Source organism: Homo sapiens, chromosome 9, assembly GCF_000001405.40.
Source record: "Homo sapiens chromosome 9, GRCh38.p14 Primary Assembly".
NCBI lineage: Eukaryota > Metazoa > Chordata > Mammalia > Primates > Hominidae > Homo > Homo sapiens.
The window spans coordinates 20,363,279-20,386,303 of NC_000009.12; the positions used below are offsets into that span (position 1 = coordinate 20,363,279).

Genomic DNA, 23,025 nt, shown 5'->3' on the forward strand with positions numbered 1-23,025 from the left:
AAGCCTCTTTCTGAGAAAAAGGAGAAACAGTTCCCTGTAAAGTGTGTGTAGGCATACCAAGGAGACCCTGCATCAAATGAATGTGACCATCTACTGCCGTTTTTGGTGTTTCACACCTTTGCTGTGATTATCCCAGCAGGGCTTGTGAAAGAGTCTGACTTCATCACAGGCAACCCCTTTCCTTCCAAGATACTCACCTGCGACTTCGGCTGCCTCCTCTATTTACAGGCCTCTCCATTTCAGAGTCATTGTCGTTATCCTCCACTTCATCTGATTCCTCCTCATTGTCATCAGAATGCAGATCTTTCATTATAGACCTCAAAGGACCTGAGTAATGACAATGAACCACAGGCAATCAAACATATACTCAAACACACTTAGCCATATTAGAAACAGGGGGATGCTTACCAGCACTGAACACTGGTTAAAAATAATCATCATATATATTTATACAATTTACAAGGCAAATTTGGTATAGTTTCTAAAATGCAATCTCTGCCAAAACACTATTGTTTTCATAATGGATTCCCAAAATATTTATTAAAGAATCTCTATTTTCTAGGAATTTTTTTTCTGTGTATTTTTCTTCCCTAAGAAAAATTATACATAAAAAGAAAAAGAAAAATCTATCAGTAAATTGAATGTTTTGTTAGGTTAATCCATGTATTGAGAAGTTGAGATTAATAAATCACTGTGGTTGTAACTTGTTCTTGGCAATGCAGCCTTTGTGTGGTACTTTTTGATCCATTAAGGTTTAGCTGTTCCTTTTATTTCAAGGTCAATTTCAGGTCAAGCAAGCATTTCAGTCAAGTTCAGATTATAAAGTATTTCAATTCCATGGTGTAATATCCTACCTCTGATCTTCACATTGATCTTGGACACAAGGTCTTGTTGCAGCAATTTTAAGCAGCCAATTTTCATTTTACTTTTTAAGAAATTACTGGCACAATACCAGCATGTATAAACATAAACAAGACCATGTAATAAATCAGGTACACAGAAAAATCAGGACAGTATCCAGTATCAGACAGGAAAAAGAAAAAAAATCAAACTCTAATTTTATTCTAGGACAGGACAGAAATGAAAACACACACACAAACACAAATTCATCAGTGTGGCTTATTTTCACTTTACTAGGCTAAATGTGATGAAAAATAGATAGTTTTAATCTTAACAGAAGAGGTTATAAAGACAATGAAGAAAGAGAGACACTTTCATTCGGGATTAGGCAATTCCTAAAGTCCCATCTATGACAGGGATATCTGAGCTATTACTATCTTGACTCCCTACAATCTCACATTCTGCAAAACCCAAATTTATCTGCTTTTGTAGTGGGCTTATTTCTTTGGAAGTCAGTGAAACAAGACCTCTGAATAGCCAAAACGATTACTGTCTTTTATTTTATTTTTTTCCTGGAAGCTTAGCCTTAGTCCAAACACATACAACAATTTAATCCTTTTCAAAACATTCAAAGCCATCAGGAATTCAGTGTGGTCATTGAAAAAGGTAATGTTCAATACTATGCTAAAACACAAATTCTACTTTGATACCTATGCATTTTTCATGTAAAAAGAGTGTATATTTGAAGATTTTCCACATACACAAAAATGGAAAATATAATTAGTTAAATATTCTAGTTTAAATGTCTTTATTCTGAATTCAAGTTAACACTTGATCATGAGTAGAGAAAAATATATATTTAAAAGATAGCCAATTAGTATTGCCTTAAAGACTATTAACATGTAGAAAAAAAATATGTCCAGGAGGAAAGATGAAAACCTATTTCCCTATGTCAAAGCCTCTTAAAGCTTTTGCTATTGTATTTCCTTTGGGAACTCCCTGGGATGGGCTGTGTCTATAATCCTTTTGTAGCAATGACAATCTGATGGCAGGGACCGGAAAAAGGGGAATTTCTAGAGCCTTGCCTCGTACATCAGAACAATACTCAACTGTATTCCTAAGGGAAATAAATACAACTGCATAAAAGCCAAGTTATGATTCGAATAATAAAACAGTATAAGGTGATAAATCAAGACATTAAGATGGTTTTTTTTTGTTTTGTTTTGTTTTCTTTTTTTTGAGACGGAGTCTCACTGTGTCACCCAGGCTGGAGTGCAGTGGCGCGATCTCAGCTCACTGCAACTTCCGCCCCAGGTCCAAAGGATTCTCCTGTCTCAGCCCCCCGAGCAGCTGGGACTACAGGCGCATGCCACCACGCCTGGCTAATTTTTTGTATTTTTAGTAGAGACGTTTACTAAACACGGTTTCACCGTGTTAGCTAGGATGGTCTTGATCTCCTGACCTCTTGATCCACCCGTGTCAGCCTCCCAAAGTGCCATTAAGGTGTTTTATGAGAAAAGCATCTCCTAGTTTGCATGAGATGTTGATACCTTGTTGCCTGGTCTGGGATGGTGTGAAGCTGGAGCTGGAGCTGGAGCTGGAGCTGGCAGGACTGGGTTGTTCAGACTTTAAAGAAGAATAAAAAGGCACCATCAATAAATTTACGGGATACCACACATCTAAAGTTGAAAACAGTATTGTTGCTCAAACCATCCTCTGCAAAAACCGTGATGCATTTCATTATGTCAAATTACTAACACAGGAGAGTCATGTTGTCTTTTGTTGTGCCCACTGTATTTTTATTAGATGCAGAAACAAGTATAAAAACTTGAGGAGATAAACACTTGGGTGTTACATGAGAAAAGGGCCTGGCTTTGATTTCACTCCTACGTTTACTGCTATACAGGTCTCCCTCTTTTCATCTTAGATATAAAATACTTCTTTATTATACTTTAAGTTTTGGGATACATGGGCAGAACATGCAGGTGTGTTACATAGGTATACATGTGCCACGGTGGTTTACTGCACCCATCAACCCATCATCTACGTTAGGTATTTCTCCTAGTGCTATCCCTCCCCTAGCCCCTGACCCCTGAAAGGCCTTGGTGTGTTATGTTCCCCTCCCTGTGTCTATGTGTTCTTATTGTTCAACTCTTCACTTATGAGAACATGCGGTGTTTGGTTTTCTGTTCCTGTGTTAGTTTGCTGAGAATGATGGTTTCCAGCTTCATCCATGTCCCTGCAAAGGACATGAACTCATCCTTTTTATGGCTGCATAGTATTTCATGGTGTACATGTGCCACATGTTCTTTATCCAGTCTATCACTGATGGGCATTTGGGTTGGTTCCAAGTCTTTGCTATTGTGAATAGTGCCACAATAAACATACGTGTGCATGTGTCTTTATAGTAGAATGATTTATAATCCTTTGGGTATATACCCCATAATGTGATTGCTGGGTCAAATGGTATTTCTGGTTCTAGATCCTTGAGAAATCCCACACTGTCTTCCACAATGGTTGAACTAATTTACACTCCCACCAACAGTGTAAAAGTGTTCCTATTTCTCCACATCCTCTCCAGCATCTGTTGTTTCCTGACTTTTTAATGATCGCCATTCTAACTGGTGTGAGAGGATATCTCATTGTGGTTTTGATTTGCATTTCAAAAGAAGACATTTATGCGGCCAACAAACATATGAAAAAAAGCTCATCATTACTGGTCATTAGAGAAATACAGCTGTCTTTCTAAGAGATACCTTGATTACCCTTTCTGTAATGTTCGATTGACTCAACTGGTTAAAACATAGTGGTAATGAGGCTAAGGTCATTAGTTCAATCACACTATGAGCCAGTTAATTTAACTGTGGCCCAAGGCCATGACCCAACCCTAACCCTTTTCATCCACAGTTCACAAATGGAGGCCAATATTCATAACAAGACCCAGACAGGTCCAAATGAGTCAAGGGAAAATGTCGCCATTGTTTTTTTGTAAATTCTCTTTAATTCCACAACCTATTAGTGGCAAGGAAAGAGTGTCATACACACACCCCAATCTCTTACGCTCTATGAATTCTCCTTATCCTTTTCTAACCAGAAAGTTCCACATCCTCTTTGACCCACCCAACTCAGTTCTCTTCCTTCTCCAAAACCACTGAAATATAGTGGAAGTATCATGTTTTCTTGTTAGAGGTACAACAGTATTGCACTGCCTCTGATGTGTCTTTGCTCCCCAGATAGTCTGTAGACTGCCAGCACTTGAAAAATTAGGGGTCTGTCTTGTGCTTCTTGTAATCCTCTTGTACTTAGCATAATGCATTGTATACAAGAGGCACTTTTTATCGGTGACTAAAGACGGTACATTAGGCCCTGCGTTCCACCTTCTGCCACAGTTTTTTTGAAAGATTCCATGGCAGGTAAAGACAGGCAATGCACACACATGGACCTAAGTGTGCAAATATACCAATCATACCAACAAACTTGAATTTTACATATTTAAGGCTAAATTTATTTCACAATAACTTAGTCATGTTCTCATAACCAAATTTATTTCCATCCTATTTTTAATATGCTCATAGTCTTAACTATATATTTGAGAATATTTGTGGTTTCCTGTGTATAGAACAAATCTTTTTAATTCAAGGTGACCAAATTTGAGGACAAACTAAGAGCACAACCAGAAATCACTAAATGAGGATGAGAATCTCAGTCAGTTTATATTTGTTTCTCACCAATGCTTTGTTCATCTCCCTTTCCAGCACTGAATTCTCACCCCCTTCTCCCAAGGTAGCACCAGGCTCTACCAACTTGGACACAAGGAAACACTTTATTCCTAATGCACAATTCACATCCTCAGGCTTGATGGGAAAGCAGGTGCCAGCAATCTAGCACTCATTCTGCAGGAAAAGAGCCAGACAGGATCTCTAATGAGCAGCAGGCGGCCTACCAACCCTTCAGCACTGTAACATTTACTTGAGTACTGTAGCACAATGTCTTACACATTGCTGTTTGTGGGTCACAAAGAAAAGTTGGTTTACACGTACAAATGCTCTATAAGGTACTCTTCATTTCTGTTGAGTGGCTCTTCTACTGTTGAGCCCCAATGGCGAGTTACACAACTGAAAGAGCATTCAGTTGGCATTTATGTGCACTGCCCAGCTGTAAAACATTTCTCCCAGGGTTTGCAGAGTACTCCTCTTCCTCTCCAAGTTGCTCTTTTCAGCCATGAAAAGTGCCTGCAAATGATATTATTTTGATAGCTCTGGAAACCATCTGGGAGCCGAAAAGGAGGTTTCCTTACAGTGAGCAGAGAGAGCTCTAATTCCTCATCTTGCCTGGCCAGTTCACATTGTATTGGACTTAAAGGAGCCACTCTGCCAGAGCTATTTGCTGAGAATGATATTAGCAAGGATGACAAGAGAAGATGGTGGTCATCTCTCCAACTACCCCACATGAAACATTACTCATTTGTCTCAAGCATCATGTCAATCTCAGAACCAAACCAGGAGGCAGGCTTCTTTTAGCTTCTTACCCATAAATAAGGTTAATAATTCCACAGTTGCTGATCACCAAAAAACCCACAAATAGGAACATAACACAACAGGAAAAAGGGCTTTTTATTCATCATTTATGATTAAGACCTTGCCTCTGCCACAAAGTATTTGAGAAGTTTTACAACAAAAGACATTAATTCTACAAGGACATTAAAGTAGAAAGTTTAAAGCAAAAGAGCTGGATAAAAAAGGATAAAATGCTGAAGAGTGGGCAACAAGGCAATGTCCTGAAAGCTTTTAGTAGTCAGGACAGAACAAGCATTTGTGGAAGATGAGACCTTTAAAATGATCTAAGGCAGTGAATCTCACACTTTGGTGGACAACAGAATGACAGGAGGACTTGTTAAAACACAGCCTACAGCCCCACCCAGGAGTTACAGATTCAGTAGGTTGAGGGACATGGGTGAGTGGGACAGGACCCTGGAATTTATAAAGCATCACAGGTAATGATGATGCTGCAGGTCCAGGGACCAACCATGCTGATGAGAACCACTGATCGAGGACCCAGAGACCGATAATCACAGAAACTCAACAGAATTAGCTGGGAGAAGCCTATATATGAGGAGATTCTGATTTAATAGGTTGATAGTGGAGATCCAGGCATTTTTATAAAAAGCTCACAAGAGATACTGGTGAAAACTACAGGATGAGGCCACTGATTCTATATTAGTCTGCCTTTCTTCCTTAAACACACACACAAAAACACATTTTTGAAAGAATTTTAAATTTAAGAAAGCATGACTATATATATCATGAGAAAAATTAGAAAAAAATTGACTTATCCAGAGGCAGCTTGAAAGAACGCAATTGCCACTTAATGAAAACATTTATGAAGCATGTACAACCATGTTGTGGGGGAGACACCTTAAACTAACTTAATCTGCCTAGTACAGAATTCACCTGTTAACTGCTCAAAGAGCCACTCTGCCACTAGAGGAGGCTGACACTGTCTTACATTTCATCAAGCCCAACCAACAGAATTGCAGTTCACTGTGAGTTATGTATTTTATTTTTAAAATGTCACATTTATCTTCCAAAAACAAACCAAGGATGATTATATAAACTAAAGAAGGTCACTTGCTCTACACACACAAAAAAATCATCATCAACAGGGTTATATGAAGATCTTTATATGAAGATCTTTACAGGCCCTAAGGATTGCAAGATATAATAATCTCCTTTCCCCACCCTACCCCCTAAGAAACATTTTAAATATGTGCTTGTGTCTGTATACATGTAGGGCGTGCACATGTGTGAATGCTAAACCAAAAATTCAGAGAAGTCCAATGAGGTTCTGATTTTTTCCCCTTCTTAATATAACACCTGTTTGTAAAATATCAAAATTCTCACCACCAAAAAAATGTTTTACTACTTCTTGCTGATCCTCTAACCACATGCTTACCTGACCTACTGGGTAATGAAATGCTATGCATGTAGTTTCTTTCAATGGTATGTTCTACAGTGATAAAAGTATAGACATCCTTTGCTTCATCATGCCATTTTTCCAACAATTTGTGTTCACTTCATGTCTCTGCATCACATATTGGAAATCCTTGCAACATTTCAAACTTTTTCATTATTATTATACCTGTTATGGTGATCTGAGATCAGTGATCTTTGATGCTACTATTGTAATTGCTTTGGGGACACCACAAACCGCACCCATGTAAGATAGCAAACTTAATCAATGTTGTGTATCTCTAACTGCTCCACCAACCTGTCAATCACCAACTCCCTTCTTCTCCTTGGGTCTCCCTATTCCCTGAGATACAACAATACTGAAATTAGGCCAATTAATAATCCTACAATGGCCTCTAAATGTTCAAATGAAAGGAAGAGCCACAAATCTTTTTTTTTTTGAGACAGAGTTTCGCTCTTGTTGCCTAGGCTGCAGTACAATGGCAGGATCTCAGCTCACTGCAACCTCTGCCTTCCGGGTTCAAGCCATTCTCCTGCCTCAGCCTCCCGAGTAGCTGGGATTACAGGTGTGCACCAACACGCCTAGCTAATTTGTATATTTTTGGTAGAGATGGGGTTTCGCCATGTTAGCCAGGCTGATCTCGAACTCTTGACCTCAGGTGATCCACCTGCCTTGGCCTCCCAAACTGCTGGGATTACAAGTGTGAGCCACTGCACCAAGACACATCTCTCACTTTAAATCAAAGCTATAAATGATTAGGCTTAGTGAGAAAGGCATGTCAAGAGGTGACAGGCCAAATGCTAGGCCTCTTGCACCAAATATTTAGCCAAGTTGTGAATGCAAAGGAAAAGTTCTTGAATGGAATTAAAAGTGCTACTCCAGTGAACTCATGAATGATAAGGAAGCAAAACAGCCTTATTGCTGATATGGAGAAAGTTGTAGTGGTCTGGATATAAGATCACACCAGCCACAACACTTCCTTAAACCAAAGCCTAATCAAGAGCAAAGCCCTAATTCTCTTTAATTTTATAAAATCTGAGAGATGAGGAAGCTGCAGACAAAAAGTTTGATGCTAGCAGAGGTTGGTTCATAAGGTTTAGGGAAATAAGCCATCTCTGTAACATAAAAGTGCAAGTTGAAGCAGCAAGAGCTGATACAGAAGCTGCAGGAAGTTATCCAGAAGATCTAGCTAACAACATTGATGAAGGTGGCTACACTACACAAATTTTCTATGTAGACGAAACAGCCTTCTACTGGAACAAGATGCCATCTAGAGCTTTCATAGCTAGAGAGAAGTCAAGGCCTGGCTTCAAAGTTTCAAAGGATAGGCTGACACTCTTTTTAGAGGCTAATGCAACTGGTGAATTTAAGTTGAAGCTAATGCTCATTTAGTATTCTGAAAATATCCTAGGGCCCTTAAGAATTATGCTAAATCTACTTTGCCTGCGCTATAGGAATGGAACAACAAAACCTGGATGACAGCACATCTGCCTACAGCATGGTTTACTGAATAGTTTGAGCCCACTGTTGAGACCTACTACTCACAATAAAAGATCCGTTTCAAAATATTATTGCTCATTGACAATGTACCTGGTCACCTGAAAGCTCTGCAGGAGATGCACAAGGAGATTAATGTTGTTTTCATGCCTGCTAATACATCTATTCTGTAGCTCATGAATCAAGAAGTAGTTTTGGCTTTCAAGTTTTATTATTTAAGAAATACATTTTGTAAGGCTATAGGTGCCATAGATAGTGATTCCTCTGATATATCTGAGCAAAGTAAATAAAAAACCTTCTGGAAAAGGATTCACCATTCTAGATGCCATTATGAACATTCATGATTCACAAGAGAAGATCAAAATATGAACATTAAAAGGAGTTTGGAAAAAGCTGATTTCAACCTTCATGGATGACTTCGAGGGGTTCAAGACTTTAGTGGAGGAAGTCACTGCAGATGTGGTGGAAACAGCAAGATAACTAGAATTAGAAGTGGAGTCTGAAGATGTGACTGAATTTTTGCAATCTCATAAAATTTGAATGGATGAGGAGTTGCTGCTTATGGATGAGCAAAGAAACTGGTTTCTTCAGATGGAATCTACTCCTGGTGAAAATGCTAGGAACATTGTTGAAACGACAATAAAGAATTTAGAATATTATATAAATTTAGTCGATAAAGCAGTGGCAGGGTTTGAAAGAATTGAGTCCAATTCTAAAAGATCTACTGCACTATCAAACAACCTCACATGCTACAGATAAATCTTTTGCAAAAGTCAGTCAGTCCATGCAGCAAACTGCATTGTCTTATTTTCTTTCTTTCTTTTCTCTTTTAGACGGAGTCTCACTCTGTCACAAAGGCTGGAGTGCAGTGGCACCATCTCGGCTCACTGCAAGTTCGTTCACGCCATTCTCCTGCCTCAGCCTCCTGAGTAGCTGGGACTACAGGCACCCGCCACCACGCCCGGCTAATTTTTTTTTTTTTTTTTTTTTTTTTTTGTATTTTTAGTAGAGACGGGGTTTCACTGTGTTAGCCAGGATGGTCTCGATCTCCTGACCTCGTGATCCACCCGCCTTGGCCTCCCAAAGTGCTGGGATTACAGGCATGAGCCACCACGCCTGGCCTGCATTGTCTTATTTTCAAAAATTGCCACAGCCACTCATATCTTCAGCACTCCAATCGATAAGTAGTCATCAGCATCTGGGCGAGAACTTCTACCAGCAAAAAGACTATGACTAGCTGAAGGCCAAGAAAATTGTAAGCATTTCTGGCAACAAGGTATATTTTAATAAGGTAATATATACTGTCACACTTAATAGATTACCATATAGCATAAATATAACTTTTATATGCACTGGGAAACCAAAAACTTCACATGCCTAATTTTATTGTGCTATTTGCTTTATTACAATTGTCTGGAACCTAACCTGCAGTGTCTCGAAGGTATGCCTACATATGCTGAAGTATCTTAATTCTACTGCTTGATAGTATATTTTGGTGAAGATTGCTTAAACATTAGTTTGCTCATAGAGTGAGGGCACTGAACCTCATACAGAAGTGATTACCTTAAATTGATATAATAAAGTAAAAACACCTAGCACACTGCTGTTCTAATGGCAGCTAATCAACATTTGATTGCTACTATCATTTACAATAGGTCACATACTCCTCTACTGCCTAATACAAGATATATCTTTACTACCAAAACAATGGGCCTACCAGGATTTGCAATACAATCTTCAACATTAAATGGCTATGCAAAATCATTTTGTAATGGATTTTCTACAGAGTATTACTTTTGTCCAAGACAAGTAAGAAAAACCACATGTTTACAACTAGAAGTGTTTCAAAAGCGAGCACCTGTCAAGGTAGATCACAGGGGAGGCCTGCATAAGCTGGCACTGATCCTGTACTAAGAGCATACTTCCTCTTTAGGTAACAGATGTCAAAAGTAGTTCTGTCTTTTCTAATTGGCAACTATATTTATGAACAGAATTTTGGTGACTTGATCTTTAAAGCAATCAAAATAAAAATAGTGAAAAGGGAAAGAGTACAGTATAACTAGTTAAACAGAAATGATTTCAGACACATTGCTACACTTTTCATAAAATGTAACCTCATTAGTTACATTACGAAAATGTAACTTTTCATAAAATGTAAACCTCACCTAGAAAAAGAACACCTAGAGCCTGCTATAAAGATTATCTCTTCTTTCACAAATATCCAGAAAGACTGTGGATGAATACTAATGAAAGAAGAAAACACAAATATAGGACACTTTATTTACTTCTCTGTTCAATTTTCATTATGCCTGACTGAAGTATTAGGTTCTTCTCACAGTTTTGGTCCTTCTTTCATTAAAAAAAAAAATCACCTTACACATTATATAGCTTTTCTTTTTGCTTAACATAAAAAAAAAAACCACTTAAAAGTCCACCTCATTTAGTTTCTCCTCTGTAGGAAACTGAAAATAATCCACTCAATTTTTAAATGTACATTTAAAAAAATAACATAACAAGCTAGGTGCAGCGGCACATGCCTGTAATCCCAGCACTTTGGGAGGCCAAGGCAGGAAGATTGTTTGAAGCCAGGAGTTCAAGACCAGCCTGGGCAACACAGTGAGATCCCCATCTCTACAAAAAATAAAAATATTAGCCAGGCTTGGTGAAGTGTCCCTGTAGTCCCAACTACTTGGGAGGCTGAGGCAGGAGGATCCCCTGAGCCCAGGAGTTTGAGGCTGCAGTGAGCTACGGCTATGCCACTGCACTCCAGTTTGGGTGACAAGACAAGTCTCTGTCTCAAAATAAAATACATAACATCCATGCCAAACAATTGTGGAAAAATGCTTTCCATTAGATGAGTGAAATCTATGTTACCAATTCCCATTAATGGGTAAAATATTGAGATAGCTATGCCAATAAAAGGTAAGGCCAAATTTAAACAAAGAAGTATTGAAAAGTGATAAAACAATATTCTACTTATGTTAACCTAACAATCTATGCACTAGCGAATTATTAAAAGCCAGAATCAAGAGAAATTTTATTATCATTTGGTTTTACATTAGTAACTGCTTCAAAAACATGCTAAAAGAACAAAACTTTGTTATATAAAAAGATATATAAAAATGAGATTGAACAAACATCAGTAACTCTAACCTCATAATGTATTTTTGTGTAGCTCTATCATATTCCTTATTTCATTTGCACTACCACTAGTAAGGTGAGTGATAGGAATTATGCCCCCTCTACCCTAAAATTCACATGTTGAAGCCTTAACCCCCAGTGTCCCAATACGATAGTATTTGAAGATGGGACCTTTGCAAGGTAATTAGGTTTAAAATGAGGTCATGAACGTAGGGCCCTCTTGATGGAATTGGTATCCTTGTAAGAACAGACACCAAAGAGCTTGCTTCTTTTCTTTCTTACTATGTGAGGACACAGCAAGAACGCAGCCATCTGCAAGCCAGGAAGAGAGACCTTACCAGATTCCTTGTTGGACTTCCCAGCCTTTAAAACTGCGAGAAATAAATTGCTGTTGCTTAAGACACTCAGTCTACTGTATTTTGTTATGGCAGCCCAAGCTGACTAAGATAGCAGGGTGCATTTTAGATCAATATTTTTCAGATGATAAAACTGAAGCACACAGTAAGATTAAGTGACCGGGGGTAATATTTAGGTGAATTAGAACCGGATTTTCTGACTTCTAATCCAATGCTATTTGTACTGCAACTATTAACTTTGAAAAAGGGCAATTAATTTAAAGCAGTGTTCTGAACATACTAACACCCTTTTATAAATTAGGGACAGGGAAGAAAGTTTTGTCACTGCAGAAGATGTAAGGAATATCCTTTGTCCCCAAGGTACATCTTCTGATCCACACCCAAAGCAAACCAGTGGTAAAACAAAACACTTCATCCCAGCGGAGTTAATGTGTCTGATCCATTGCTTCTAACATTTGTCCAATCAATATTACAATGAATCCTGGCTAGGAACCTTGTTATTTCAGTAATTTTTTTTTTTTTCTTTTCTTTTTTTTTTTTTTTGAGACAGAGTCTTGCTCTGTCACCCAGGCTGGAGTGCAGTGGCGCGGTTCTCAGCTCACTGAAAGCTCCGCCTCCTGGGTTCACGCCATTCTCCCGCCTCAGCCTCCTGAGTAGCTGGGACCACAGGCACCTGCCACCACGCCCGGCTAGGTTTTTGTATTTTTAGTAGAGACGGGGTTTCACAGTGTTAGCCAGGATGGTCTCCATCTCCTGACCTCGTGATCCGCCCGCCTCAGCCTCCCAAAGTGCTGGGATTACAGGCCTGAGCCACCGCGCCCGGACTTCAGTAAGTTTTATAAAGGAAAACAGGGAAGTTTCTTCTCTGAACTGCCCTAATCCTCTTGAGACTGGCATTAATAGGACCAATGAGCACATCAGGCAACACAGTAAAATCATATATTTTATTTACCTTCAAGTGATCTACGTTCTTTTCCTAACTCTTCAATATAAATCCCATAATATCCAAGAAAAAAATACCATTTAATGCTTTAAATAAGCTGTTAACAGCTCTTTCTTTCAAAACAAGGTGGAACCGGGGAAAGGACACTAGAGTGCAACCTTTATTGCTAGACACCTACTCAAGTCTGTAACCACAGAGAAGACTCTACATCTCTTTTTAGTAGATGCTCTCCATTTGTATTACGACAACTTGAATGAATTTGATGTTAGATTAGAATCATATTTAGCCTCTTGAGTTCTTATGTTATCAAAAGCTATTGTTATACCCATCATTTTCTGATGATAGAGCAAGATCCTGAGAATTACCCTCTCAACTGTTAGCAAAACAGGAAACGTCCTTATTTCTGTTATATTTTCAACTTACAGATATAAAATCATCCTGGAAGCCAAGATAATTGGCTTGCATTGAGGTGCCTGTTTTTACAATTACATTCACTTTCTTCATTATTATCATTACCTTTACTATTATTATTAAATGCTGTCATTTGGACTTATCACTACTTGTCTGAGAATAGAAAATGTCATTAGGAAATAAAATGGCCTCGGGGAGCAGGGGTCTATAAATCTCTCCATAAGACCCTTTTCCACACTTAGGGATGGCTATCATTTTCTTTCAGCTTCCTCCCTTTTAAGCAGAAGAGCCTCAAGTCTTTTATCTCTCATCACCATTTGTACTTTAAAGGCTGCTACGATTGTAGCCAGAACATGTGCTCTTTCAAAAAATCCAGTTGTTGCAAGATGTGTTCTAAGATCACTGGCTGAAGGATCCTTGTTAAGAGCTTTGAGAATGAGAAATCATCTGAAAACAGACCACTTACAGTCACACCACCTATAAACACAGTACTATTTTTGAGCAAAGTTCACATGTACAGAAGTTGAATTTCACAACTGACCTTTAACTACACCACTTAGTTGTGATGCCAAAGACATATGTTTTAGCTGTGTTTTCTCTTTCTCTTTTGTGTGTTTTGAGAGTGACGGGTAGAGAAAGAAAAATGTTACAAGTGAGAGGGCTCAGAGCTGTAATTCCTCACAGAAGAGAAACAGGAAGGAAAAAAAGTTTCCTGATAGAACTGGCCCATAATTAAGTGTTATTGGAGTTGACCAATGAACATCGAAACACCACTACTTGTCAGTTTACAATGAGATCTTGAGATTATTGTCAGAACTATTCAGTTACTTGTGAAGTAACCCTCCTGTGCAGAGCATAAGAAATTTAAAATAGTGGAAAATCACTTTTGTCTTCTCAACATTTATAACGGCAACATTGAACTGAACACTGAATTGAACAAAGTCATAAAAAGTACATTATGGCTACAGGGCTCAGTACTGGATTATAAATATTAAAGTATATTTGGGATTATAAAAAAGTATAAAGTAAATTAAATAGAATGAATTCAGGAAATAAAGGTGATAATGAAATGAAATAACTAAAAGATATATATCTGAAGAGATTATTTTGACAAGACATTTAACTACATTTCCTTATTAACTTTAACCTTTTAAAAAATGTGTCACTTTAAAATGTTCATAAAGCATTTGATTGACACCAATATAATCTTTACAGATTTACACAGATGTCAAGAAGTATTAATTTTAATCTTTGGACTATCTTACAGAATTTTCCCGATTAAATGTGAAACCTGGATTTACTATCATGGCAGTGGCATTAAGAGTTTATTTTATTTGCTAAGAACTTATGTCCATGGTAGTTTGACTTTTAATATAACCAAAATCCACTGGGGAAAAAGTGTTGACTTAAGACTACCTCATCTTCACCAGGTCAAAAATGCAACATTTTCTCATTATCAGCTTATGAAACAAGGACTACTGATAGTTGCAAGGGTTATTTCTCTACAAGCCTTATATCTTCCTCAATAGAATTAGAATACTGGAGCTCTTTCCTCTATCTAGATCAAGGAACTCCAAAGTTCTTTGGGTGTGGGTATGAATGTATATGTTTACATAGATGTGTGTAAGATAATACATAGTAGTAAAAGAAAATAACAAGACCTCTTTTCATATTAGTCTTTTACTTTTAAATTTTCAATTTTTTGTATGTGTTTTCTTGTACATAATATGAAAGTACAGCATAACTTATTCTTGTACATAATATGTTGGCTTACTATAATTTGGAAATGTACATACATTGGGGATACAGGTTTACAGGGAGAGATGAGTTGTAATACCAACTCTGTAAGTTTTAATTCTGTAATTTACCTGCTCAAATCTTAATTATATCACATGATTTCAAGCTCTGGAGTGATACATGCTAAATAAACAGGACAGTCTCATTATAACTCACACAGAGAGCATCCAGATTTTTGTCATTTTACAGTATTTTATAACAATCAAACTCAGAGCTTAAAAGTTTACTTTTTATATTTATACTGTACACAGAGTTCCTTATTGAAGAAGAGGTAACACAAACTTATTTAAAAGATTTTGAAGTGCACATAGCTTTTCTTAAAAACCCAACACAAAATACTTTACATAATCCCCCTAGAAGTTTGAAATTATCTGTGGCTCTATTTTAGAGTTTGCTTTTATAGTGTTTACAGAAAATTATACAATATTAAGTGAAATTGTTTATAATCAGTCTAAATGTGCTATACTTACATTCACTTCTATTTAAAATGTTAAGTCCTAATAAAAAGTTTGTAAAAATATATCTATTTTAAGAAGTCCCTCTATCTTAGTGAAAATGAACTAAAGTAGCAAAAACATGCTACATTTACAAGACAGCCCTCATGTGAAAACTTAGGAGGTAGATTCTTCTGTTGTGTTCTCAATGTAGCCCCTTTAAAAATGTGGTATTCAGAATCACATATTCCTGATTAGTAATATTAGATTTCTGTCCAGAATAGGAGGAATGCTGCTGCTTATAAGGCTCTAAAGGAACCTGCATTTCCATGCACACATCTTATATAAGCCTAACAGTTGCTTTTCTTCATAAATCAATCTATTGTTGCACTTCATAATGAGAAGGCAGATTTACTGCCTTTTACCGCCTTTTCTCACCATCAGAAAGATGCCTATTTGGGTAACAGAACGTTTCTCTTCTTCAAGGGTATTTGGGATTAGGGAGGCAGGGGCAAGAACCTTTAACATCTGCTCCCTTGAAATGAATGACACCTCTAGTTCTCACAGCCTGGACGTTGAAAAGCAAATACTCTAACTTGATAAAATTCTCTAACTTGAAGAAGCACAACACTTTAAATACACTGAAGTCCCATCTCTAAAACATACATTTGGGATTTAGAGGTTATACCACAAAACTAAAGAACACAGAATTTAGATTGTCCCCCAAAAGCCCCCAAATCATCATCATAGTGAGAACAATTGGAATTTAGAATAAAGACACTGGATTCATCATCTTGAATTTTCTCTAGCCCTAAAAACAAATCTAAATTACTGGCTAGTAAGACTTTAATCATTTGAGTCTCAATATTGTGCAGGAATAACAAAACAGTTTGCAATATAGACTTAACATTCCTCTGTTTTTATTTACTTAATTTTTCCCCTTAGGGAGAAATATTTAAGAATTACAAACTTTAGGTTTTAATTTAAAAACAATAAGAAGGTACTTTTCAGCATCTAATTCCTAACCATCTGCCTTTTAAAAATATACACACACACATACTCACCCATTCACTCCAGTTAGGCTTAACATTCTTAACAAGTAAGTAGATCTTGATGGATCTAAACAGAAGTTTCAGTAATCAGAGTCCCACTTTTGGAAACAAAGCTATCTTTAAACAGGCACCATGACTCCTACTAGCAAAAGCAGTTAACCATAAACTTAAAACAAATAGACACCATCCAAAACAAATAAATAAATGAAGTGAGGCAGGTACTGGATTCAAGAAGAATCTCTATTTTTGAAGAAAACTAAATTACATCTCCTCGTTCATGAATATGTAGTATTGCCCAGTGAGCTAACATTCTTGTTACTTCAGGCTATCTTTTGTCACTTAAGCAATGGTTTTTGACAGTTTTACAGGCTGTTATCCCAAAGACTTCAGTATTTACGGCCTTTATTCACTTGGGCTTTCTACTCTTATCCACTGGTTACTAATCACTAAACAGATTTTTTTTAAAATGGGACTGAAATTAGCTCACAGGATGTCCTTCAACAATGGCAGCTCAGGACAGCACCGGTAAAGGTCTTCTCCTCAGCCTCTTCCTCTCTCTCTTCAATTTTCTCTTCCTACAGACAAGTTAGTGAGGGTCCAGATCCACACTGTTCAATTAGAACAACAGCACACATGATTTACAGCATTCTTAGGGGATGGTTAGGGATCGTTTCTGAATTGATCCTCAGAAACTCATTCAATTTCAAATATCTCAAGAATGATTTAAAGGCCTAACTTGTTTTTAATCTTCATAAAACAGGAGCAATTCCTACTTGTGGAATCATTATTCAGGAATTATTATTCAGTTCTACAAACCTTACTATCCACACACAATTGCACGTACAATTCAAATATGGATGCTTTTAAAACTTCAACACATTTAGTTGTAACCTGCCATTCCAATTTCTTCCTATGTAGTAAAGGCTGCTTATTACCTTTTATCCACTACACTTAAACACCATAGACCGAAAAGCAAGGAGAAAACACAGACCGTTCTTTTCACTTAATTTCATCTGACTTAAACATCTCCTAAGAGATTGGTTTTTATCTTAGGAACAATGTGAAATGCGTAACAGAGTACATTCTCTTTTCTAGCTGGCTGCTGGAAACTTGAAAGTCAAATTAGACTGGAAAGTGCTGTTTTCTTATAAACTAAAAATGCGAAAGAAAGCCAGAAATACTGATGTTATTAGTCTCATGATCTTCCTGATGAACTGAGCAAACTGCAGAATTCTCTGAGAATGGGCTGAGCAATGGCAGGAGGAAGGGGAGAGACTAGCTTTAAAGAAACACTAAGGCTCCACTTATTGCTCTAAAATATAATATACTAAATATGACTCTTCCTAGAATAAAAGGAACTTATTATGATCAGCTTCTGTTTTCTCTGAAATTGTGCTGAAATGAAATCTCAAAAGAAAATGCTCCAACAAAGTATTTTAAACCTTTAGATATTTCCACATTTGGGTAGAAGCAACATGTTTTAGTGCATCAGAAAAACAATTTTATCGGGATTAGCATTCATATACAACATTTACATATAATATTAACTATTTGGACATCATGTGATTGCATTTAATTTATAGACATCCACATGACAAATTCTCCTTGAATGTAGTTCCAGGAAAATTTATTTCTGCTGAAGAATGTGCACGCTTTCCGATATTCCAAATATAAAACTCCATAACTGTTATATTTCTCTAGGAAGAAAATGGCAGAACTTATTGCCTATGTGTAAAAAAGCACCTAACTCTGAACAAATGCTGTGTTCTTTAAATTTTGTAACTACTTATATTAGATTATATTTGCCATGTATATTAACCTGTAAACCAATCTAAATGCCATTCAGTCATATAACTATTAAACAAGTTAAAAATGAAATACATGTACTTGCATGAGAATTTACATAGTTATATTTTTAATTTAATAAAACAACATTTTAATGTATAATTAAGGGCTAATTTTTACCAAATACCCTAGTGGTTAGATAACAAGGGATACTCTGTTATTTTTCTGGTAAGTTAAATCTTGCAGTGTTTACTTTTATATTTAAAAATATGTGAATGGAGAAAATCATTTTGGATGAACGACTTTCAATGTATGATAAGCTATATAATTAAGAAAAATGTAAGAACAATATTATTCTGAAAGAAGATTCATTTCAGATTAGTAAAATAATTAGAGGTCTAATCCTTAGCTTCTCTCAGAAAATAAGAGAAATTATTTAATACGATAATCATGAGTTAAAAAATGCTTCTATTTCTTTAACATGCACTTAAAAATTCACTGGTAGATAAAATACTTGTAAATGTGCTGAAGTCAGAGGAGAAGGGTATCTTTTTTCCTACTTTAAATCACTCTGGAGAACAAATGCACACTGGGGCTCCTATTTTAAAACTTTTTCTCTATTTTTTTCTTAATTAGATGAATGCATGTTATATGCACATTAATCATCTAAAATTGTAAGATTTTCCTGAATTTTTCTATACATCAAAACCTCCTGTGGCTTTTCCTTGTTCCATCCCTCTCACCCCATTTTTCATTACCTTACATAATATCCCAGAAGCTATCTTGCCTATGAAATTACTACTCATAGTAAATAAACTTTACATATAGTTTATCTTTAAAAATTAGAAACACAGCAAGCAAAGAAATTGTTCTCACCTCTTTCAAAAGAAAACGGTGTAGCCCTCAGGAAAACAGAAGTGCCCCTAAGTTCATGTGTGTCAGCAAGGAATGGAGAGCTGTTAAGAATGATCTTCTTGAAAAGAAAGAAGTCTCCTTAGGCACCCACATGTATATTTAGATTAGACTGGCAGTTTAAATGACAGCAAACACATGGTCATGACTTCCCAATTGCTCATTCATCTAACACATACACAGGCTAATCAGAGGCAAACATCCACCCCGAACTGTTTTAGAAACTAGCTTCTCCCATCTGATACTACTGTATGTGTGGTAAGCAGACATTCTTCTAGAGAGATCGGATGTCAAATGCTTAACTACCTCTCTTAGTATAACAGGATCTTAAATCACACTGATTTAGAATTCCAGAATGTTTTTGTAAAGTCAGTTTGACATCAACTTACATCAATTCCTTGCTCTAGCCTGCAGGGTTTTATGAAGTACAAAGTAAAGAAATGACTATGTAAAGATTGCAGGATCTATTTGTCTTATGGGTATTTTTAAACTGTAAGACCTGCCCATCCTATCAGTAATAGCACACACTCCTATTCTGTAAACAGGGTAAAGTCACTATAGAGGATCACATTTTCTTGTGCAAATAAAAGGTGGTAGAGTTAAAAGGTGGAGATACTGAACATGAACTTTAAGCCCCTACTCATAATTTGAGCTTCAGTAACATTTTCCAGTAAGTGAGAAACAAGAGAAAACACAGATGGCACTGTTTGCTGGCAGCTATTAACTACACCTACAACACTATTGTGTTGTATATATGCATACACATTGAGATTTATATATATTAAGATGTGTTGGTGAGGAGCAGAAAACAAATGCAGCTATCAGCTCTATGATGGGGGGTACGTTATTTTAAAATGTCAAACAATTTTAACATAATTATATTTTACTTTTGACATGAACTTTGCATTTTAATCTTAATGTCAAATATTTTGAAAAATCTAGATTAGTATGAGGGTGAAAAGAATGAAACACTATAATAATTTGGTGCTCAGGTTCTGAAAACATCAAACCTGGTTTGAATCTCAGTTCCACCACTTTCTAGCTATGTGACCTTAGCACATAACATCATCTCTCCAGGCCTCAGTTCCTTCATTTCTAATGGGGAAACATAAGTAATAGTGGTACCAATTCATATCGCTAATGTTAGAATGTTGACAACGCAAAGCAGTTAGGACAGAACACTGAATAAATGATGACTAAATATTAGTTACTATTATCATCAATAGGAATAAATATAAAATTATGATATTAAAAAGTTATGTCTGAGTCCATTTGGCTTGTCCACCCTCTCCCCCATGATAGTCTTCCCTGAAAAACACTTGACACTTCAAGAAATAAGGTAACTTCCTTTAGACTAATCCAAAATTTATTTTCTCTGAAACTTCTCCTGGAGAAGGCAGCTGATAAAGTACCTAGTTCAATGCCCAATATATAAGACATTCTAGCAAGGACTTCTATACAAACAGAATAAACAAAGATGAGAATTAAAAAGTGATTGTTAATCTAAGCACAAATGATCTATAGGTAAGAACTGCCTGGTCAAGTAATATTTGAGAATTCATAGAAAAAAGAAAGTGAAACTTATTTAGGGCATCACATTGTTTGAGAAGTTTTTCCTTTTGCAGAAAAAGTGGGCCCTAAGACTCTCAAGAAAATGATCCACTTAAAGAAAATAATAATATCATGATACTGTTCTTAACAGTTCATCTCAATTTTGTAGACTTATATGCTTCTGCCACATGTTAACTTGTCTTGGTAGTAAAAAGACAAAAACAGATGGATGCTGATTGCTTAATGGCAGAAATATTTGTCTGTAGTTTTTGCTACTTTATAAAATATTACAAAGGAATACAGAGGTGGGCCAAAACCTCAAACTTAATTGAAACTCTCTAGTGTTGTCTGACAAATTAAGATTGTAAGTCACTTTATTATATAGCGTCTGGTCATGTGGTATATCATCAATGCCAATTATTTCTTTTTTCTTTAAAAACTACAATCACTACATATACACAGTTCCTGCACTCCTAAGTAAGAGGTTTTGTTATACATAGAAGTAAGCAAGTTTAATGTACTCATTTCCTAAGAAATAAGAGAATTGTCAATGTTAATGTTATCCAAAAACGTGTTCTTAATGCTCAGTTTGTACCTATCATTAAAATTTAATATAATCTAACACAATTATCATCAATGGGATGCAGGTGTTGGATAATTATATTAGTATCAACACGACAGTCAAATTAAGATTTCTTCCCATGTGATGGAGTTCTGATAAATATCAATTCATTGGTTTACTGAATCCTGAAGATCAAAAGGCCCTGCATATGGCACTAATAAATCAAATAGAGTCATCAAATCTACAGTCTGTTTTCTTTGGCTAAAACTGCAAAGTTTTACTTACAGAGACTGATCTACTTCTAAAAATTCTCTGCCAAACCAAATTTGACTCACTAAGTGTACAGAAAATATAGCACTCCCCAGCCGCACCCTCCTGGGGCTTCTGAAGTCCAGAGACACTGTTATGTGGTGGTCTAGATTATCTGGTCTTTCCCTCTTCTTTGCCTTTTTAGATCTCATAATCAACTAAAAATTCTTGCAGAAAAGTAAAAAGTTACCTCTAGACTCAGACTGAAAAGTTACAAAATATTTTTATTTATTAATAAATCCTACCATAAGTAAAGGTACTTAATAAAAATCTCTAACCGATTAACATACACACTGAAAATAATAAAGGGGTCTACAATACTTTTTCCTGAGTCTATTTAAATATCGGTAAGAACTCCTAAAGCTGGAAATTCTACTCAGGTATTTATAGTATAATTAGTCACGTTCTGATAAACTGACCCTAAACTTTGTGTGACAGTAGTATTATTTGAAAGAGAAGGGGCTACGGAAAGATAATGTAAGCAATATCCCAGGAAAAAATCCCACTTCCAGTTGATTTACTTAAGGAGACTACTCTGATAAACCATCTGTTCCATGATATTTTGAATCTCGAAGAAAATGTACAAATGAATGGTAGGATTATGGTGCTTTTTATTTTCTTCTTTATAAAACAATTCTGTACCTTTCAAAAATTTTTACAATAATTATGTTTGAAATATATGAATAAAAATAACAAAATGTCTGTTTTTGGTTCAATCGAGAACATCCTAAAGCAATAAGAAATACTTTTCCAAGTCCAAAAAGATTTTAGAAAGACTTAATAATTTGTCCTAAAATGTTAAAATCTCAGCTGAAAATTTTGGCTGACACCACTCCCACTCCCAAGTCACAACATTTAAAAATGTCTCCAGATAGTGCCCAATGGGGTGGGGTAGGGGAGACACTATCCTAGGATAATGTTTTCTCAAGAAGTTACCTACAAGAGTCTCATATAATTATATACCACTAATTGACAGATGATTCCATTTTAATAATGTTCTAATCTTAAGACCATTATGAAATGATACTTTTGGTCTGATAAGATCCATTTCAATGGTCTCTCTCTAGCATTGATGCTAAGGTGTATTCTGAAGTAAACTGCAATCTGCCTTCTGAGATATTTGTGTTGCATCTCTCCCTTTAGTGAAGAGGACAATCACTCCACTCTGGTTCTGGTGAGACAGCCCTGTTGTCCCTTAGGTTGAAACTGAATTCCCATTTCCAATGGGCACTGCCATTTCTGTATTTCATATACAGAACATGTAGAGATGCCGTGCCATTTGGTTAACAGGGTCCAAAAAGTACCATGTGAAAGCACATACTTTACATAATGTTATCTGAAATGAAAAAGAGTTTGCAATTAGAGTAAGTAAATACAAGAATGGTGTTACCAGTCAGTTTATGTTTAGGGCAAGTGTTGTTCTGTGCCTGAAGTGGCACAAAATAATGTTTCAAGGAGAGTTTCC

The 23,025-nt window shown here is 36.4% G+C and overlaps 1 protein-coding gene across 2 annotated transcripts in view, besides 3 other annotated features; it reads right to left on the bottom strand.

The window, feature by feature from the left end:
* The window catches only part of MLLT3 (MLLT3 super elongation complex subunit), a 280,831-nt gene that overhangs the window by 21,610 nt on the left and 236,196 nt on the right, over positions 1-23,025 (bottom strand). For both annotated transcript variants that reach the window (NM_004529.4, NM_001286691.2), the window contains exons 6-7: positions 2,391-2,466; positions 198-327 (exon numbers count right to left, since the gene is read on the bottom strand). In NM_004529.4, coding sequence (NP_004520.2) covers positions 198-327; positions 2,391-2,466 — 206 coding nt within the window. The remainder of the gene's footprint in view (positions 1-197; positions 328-2,390; positions 2,467-23,025) is intronic.
* Positions 13,573-13,867: a silencer, noted in NCBI's record as "tiled region #10870; K562 Repressive non-DNase unmatched - State 24:Quies". NCBI's record gives its function as "represses a minimal TATA promoter and a strong SV40 promoter by Sharpr-MPRA in K562 cells {active_cell/tissue: K562}" and the evidence as "EXISTENCE:reporter gene assay evidence [ECO:0000049][PMID:27701403]".
* Positions 13,573-13,895: a biological region, named in NCBI's record as "Sharpr-MPRA regulatory region 10870".
* Positions 13,846-13,895: an enhancer, noted in NCBI's record as "active region_28226". NCBI's record gives its function as "activates an Ori minimal core promoter by ATAC-STARR-seq in GM12878 lymphoblastoid cells {active_cell/tissue: GM12878}" and the evidence as "EXISTENCE:reporter gene assay evidence [ECO:0000049][PMID:35858748]".